The sequence below is a fragment of the Homo sapiens genome, chromosome 9 (assembly GCF_000001405.40).
Source record: "Homo sapiens chromosome 9, GRCh38.p14 Primary Assembly".
In the NCBI taxonomy this organism is placed as follows: Eukaryota; Metazoa; Chordata; class Mammalia; order Primates; family Hominidae; genus Homo; species Homo sapiens.
The window spans coordinates 66386365-66391387 of record NC_000009.12 but is presented as its reverse complement, the minus strand read 5'-3'; the positions used below and the strand labels follow the sequence as shown (position 1 = coordinate 66391387).

General features: G+C 35.8%; 1 long non-coding RNA gene across 1 annotated transcript; it reads right to left on the bottom strand.

Annotated features, from left to right (window-relative positions):
• Positions 1-3378: 3378 nt before the first annotated feature.
• LOC107987073 (uncharacterized) lies at positions 3379-4646 on the bottom strand. The gene is made up of 2 exons (XR_001746689.2): positions 4505-4646; positions 3379-3792 (listed from the first exon to the last, which is right to left on the bottom strand). It is a non-coding gene; the product is annotated as an uncharacterized LOC107987073 (long non-coding RNA).
• Between the last annotated feature and the right edge of the window lie 377 nt (positions 4647-5023).

The window sequence follows — 5023 nt, the reverse complement described above, 5'->3', positions numbered from 1 at the left end:
ACATTTAACCTAGAAGTAGAAACAAATAAAAGACACAAAATTAGAGTTAATTTTATTGTAACTGGGTTGGCTCCAGAGATTATAGTTAGGAAGTGATTACATTAAGCTCTACATATGCAGCATTCTAGCAAATTTCAATGCAGTAGACAAAATCTATAAATAATGTGAAACACATATTAACATGTTAAGCATAATATGCATTCATTGTCTTCAACAGAATAGTTCTCCATTAATTTTTTAAATGTAATACAATTTTACTTTAAAAACACTGAAAAATCAACATATTTCATTAAGAAAAAATTATAAATGTTGCAAAATGATGATGAAAATACGTATAGTAATAATTCCCAACTATAACAATTTTGTTTTATCTAATACTGGTCAGCTTTCCATGTGTCCAAGCATTACAGGACTTTTCATTAAGCCTAATCCTCACAAGAACATTGCTTTGAGCGATGTTCCAGAGTGGTAGTCCTTTAAGGCATTAGAACGATTTGTGAAATCCCTAAAAATACTAGGGGAAATATTCAAAAAATGACAATAGTGCCATTATTCCTCCTCCTCAAAGAGACTATCAGAACTAAAACTCTTTGCTTCATGTTCCTGTTTACTTCTGTCACTTTCAAGTCACAGAGGTATTATCAGACTGTCATCATTATATGACTCTGCTTTTCCAACAGAATCAATTACCTATCCCTTATCTCACAACTTGATAGTGATAGATATTGAATGCTTATGTTCTGATTAGCAAACTCTTTTTGCATTTTTAATAACAACTTGAACTCCTGATATGTCTGGAAAATATAACCCCTTCAACAGCCCTTTCAATGGGTTGCTACTATTTTGCTCACCCCATCTTCACTTGCCTAATCATGAGGAGGCGGGGTATATACAATTTCAGTTAATTTGTAGTTATCAGTCTATTATAGTTCTTTCCTTCTGAAAACCAACAAGTAAATAAACCAGCAAGCATCACCAATAAACTTTGACAGTTTATGGTTCATAACGTACGTCTACACCAAACTTTCCATTCAAATGCTTTTTCAAACCTTTGTTTGGTTTCTTTCTCTATTAAGACAACTTTTGCTTTTGGCTTTCAAAGACATTCTCTCCATTATAAACTCTGTCGTTATTCTCTATTGTGCTTACCTCAAACTGGTAACTCTTTCAAATCTTACCTGTCAGTTTCTTGACCACCATGCATGTTAATAACATTTCTTCTCTATTTTAGACAGCAAATGTTTCTCAATATTAAAAAAAAAAAAAATCCTACTCTTTGGTCCTCTCTACCTCCCATTTCATCCAATATCGCTTGTTCAAGACCTGAACTCGTACAGGTTTTTAACCTGTTGAAGACTGTCACTCTATGGACTCTACTCTCTTCTCTCTCCTCCATAGCCTTCTCATTGCCTATCTTCCCTACTTGTCCAGGAAATGATGACATGTTTCATCACCATAATTAATCCATTTCAAATGGCCTTTATGCCAAATGATTTTATTATATACTCTTTCTGTGCCATGCCTTGTTTTCCAAATTTACCACAGTACAAATTTTACAATTAGTTTTCCATTACTGAATTAGTACCAATCTCTGTCTTAAAAAATAAATACAGTAAAAAATGATAATGAATTTATTTCTTCTTATAATACTATCACTGGTGCATGGTTAGAATAAATTAATCTTAGGATGATATAAGCATTTCTCCAAATGGTCTTCAAATTCATTGATTTTTTTGTGATTTCAATTTCCATATTTATTGTTCCTGTTGCAATTTTTTCAGATTTTATATGTATTAACTCAGAACACATACCTCTTATCACACATATTTTTTCATGTAATTTATCTAAATCTTATAGAAAAGGGTACATTTGCATTTTCTCTTATTAGACTCCTGATTTCAAATAATATATTACTTATGAGTATTTTTCTGTGCTGTAGTTATTCATTCTCATAGATATGTAACATAATTCCTTTTGCAAAGGTAAAAATTGAGCTATCTCTTGTTGAGGATTTGTTGATCTCTGTCTAAAGTTTCAAAAATAAGAACTTTAAAAGCAAAATGTAAATTCCTTTCAAGTTTTAGTAAAATTACTTCAAACTTAGTAGCTTAAACAATACAGATTTATTATGTTACAGTTCTGTAAGACAGAAATCTGACTTGATCACACCATGGTAAAACCAAGATACTGCCAGGGTTGGTTTTTTCTTGGGGGGGGGTCTGTGGGAAGAGTTTGTTTCCTTTGGTTTTCCACAGCCCAGAGGCTGCTTGCATTCCTTTGATCACTGTCCCTTCCTCCATTTTTAAAATGAGGAATGGAGTCAGGGTGACTATGGTTAGCAATATTGTATTGTATATTTCAAAATAGCTAGAAGAGAGGATTTTTGAATTCTCTCACCGTAAAGATATCAAAGATGTATGAAGTGAAGAATATGTTGAATATCCTGATTCAATATTTAAACTATACATACACGTGTTGAAACATCACACTGTATCCCATCAATATGTACAATAATTATGTGTCATAAAACAAGATTTAAATTCTTTTAAAGGGCCAGCAATGGCAGTTTGTGAGTTCCCATCTCATCACTCTAACTTCTTCTGCCTCCTTCCACTTGTAAATGTCCTTCTGATTATTTTGGTCCCATCAGGATAATCCAGAATAACTTTCCTATCTTAATATCAACTGACGAACAACCTTAGTTTAGTCTACAATTTCAATTTTCCTTTGCCATGCAACTAACATATTCACAAATTCTGGGGACTAGAATGTGGACACCCGTTGTATTAGTTTGTCCTCACACTGCTAATAAAGACACAGCTGAGACTGGGTAATTTATAAAAGAAAGAGGTTTAACTGACTTATAGTTCCACATGGCTGGTGAGCCCTCAAAATCATGGTGGAAAGCGAATGAGAAGCAATGTTGCATCCCACGTGGTGGCAGGCAAGAGAGCTTGTGCAGGAGAACTCCCGTTTATAAACCCAGCAGATCTCGTGAAACTTATTTACTACCACAAGAACAGCATGGGATAAACCTTCCCCATGATTAAATTCTCTCTACCTGATCCCATTCTTCACATGGAATTATTACAATTCAAGGTGAGATTTGGGTGGGGATACAGCCAAATCACATCATTTGTGGAGAGCTGTGATTCTGCCTACCACAAGTAAGATGTACAAAGCATGGAAGGAGCTACAGCCAGAAACAATTATACCATTGGGAATTTCTAGCAGAATAAATAGCAGTTATTAACTGATAAGTTAATAGATTAAGTAAACCTAAATAATTGCCTTCATTAGCAGCGAGGCTTTTGATGGTCCATGTATCACAGATATTTAAACACAAATACATTTTTCTCATTTATTCCAATAACAAAGTGTTTTTTTGGTTTGTTTTGTTTTGTTTTTGAAAGTTTGGTATGAGAGAGAAAGAGATGAGCTGATTTGACTACTCCAGGCTAGAGGATATGTAGCTGAGAGTCTATGGCTGAGTGGAGGAAAAAAAAAAATCACAAGCCCTGTCCAGGATAACAGAGAGAGAAAGCTGTTTCTGTTGAGATTTGATGGCCCCCATCACACCAAATTTGGGCTTCTAGCTAGCCTCAGTTCTTCAGATAACTGACCTTCCTTCTTTCCTCCCTCTTGTAATAGTCTTTGTGTATTAGAAGTACCTTGAAATGCTGGGTCAGAAAATGTGGCACGAAAGAGAAAAGCTGGCTCACTCCACATCTTGACCTGATCATTTCCTGAACATGATTGAGGTAGATGACTCTTTGCTCCTCTTTGGCTGACCTGCAGGAATAACATTGGGAATAAGCAAATCTCCTTTGGACTCCAGAGGGTGGTGGTCAGGAAGTGGGCCATTGAGAACCTAGGTGGAAATGCAGGCCAGATTATTGGAGTAGTTTGCTTTATAATGTTAAAATATTTATACACATGTTATGTGGGCCTCTATTTCCACTCTTATCTTAGAGCCCACACATATTATGGAGGGTCTAGCAGTGTTTGTGGAGTTTTTGGTACTATACCTTTTTCAAGATAAAGTAAAAAACATTTATGGATAATTTAATTGTTCCCTATGTAGATTCCAGTGCCAAATTCCTCTCTTAGACACTGTTTCTAGTATAACATGTTAATATGTGACCCCTGTTTCACTTACAGATTTTTAGAGATCTATCCCAGGTTACTTAATTCAACTCCAAGACATACTTTTCTTTTAAATGCAGGGAATAAAGGGTCAGTTACTTAGTTACTCCGGTTTTATTTAATCCTACTGTCATCTGACAATATGGTACTGATACTATTTCCTACTTCTAGATGGTTGCTAGAAATATACTGTAATATTTATTCTTGATATATGTTTGTTACTTTAACGGGAATACATAGGCTATAAATAGTCCCCTTGCCTCTCACAAGTTAGACAGTCCTGCCCAGAATGCCCTGCTGAAGAGTTGTAGCAGATCACCCTGTTCCTCCTTAACCTCTCTGTTCCTCATATGCTCACCTGTAAAATAGTGATCATAGTAACACCCAACTTGTGATGATGTAGAGAGGTTTAAAGAAGCAAATTAGGGGAGGCCAGGCATGGTGGCTTATGCCTGTAATTCCAGCACTTTGGGAGTCCAATCACTTGAAGTCAGGAGTTCGAGACCAGCCTGGCCAACATGGTGAAACCCACTTCTACTAAAACAAACAAACAAACAAACAAACAAAAAACACAAAAATTAACTGGGCATTGTGGCAGTTGCTTCTAATCCCAGCTACTTGGTTGGCTGAGGCAGAAGAATCCGCTGGACCCAGGAGGCGGAGGTTGCAGTGAGCCGAGGTCACACCACTGCACTCCAGCTTGGGTAACAGAGCAAGGTTTTGTCTCAAAAAAAAAAAAAAAAAGAAAGAAACCAATTAGGGTGGAAACACTTAGAACAGGGTGTTCATAAGTTGTCACCCTCTTGAAGCAATTGTTGGACACTATTTTAAAAATGTTTTACTTCTGAGTGAAATGTTGCATTTTATTTTACTGGAA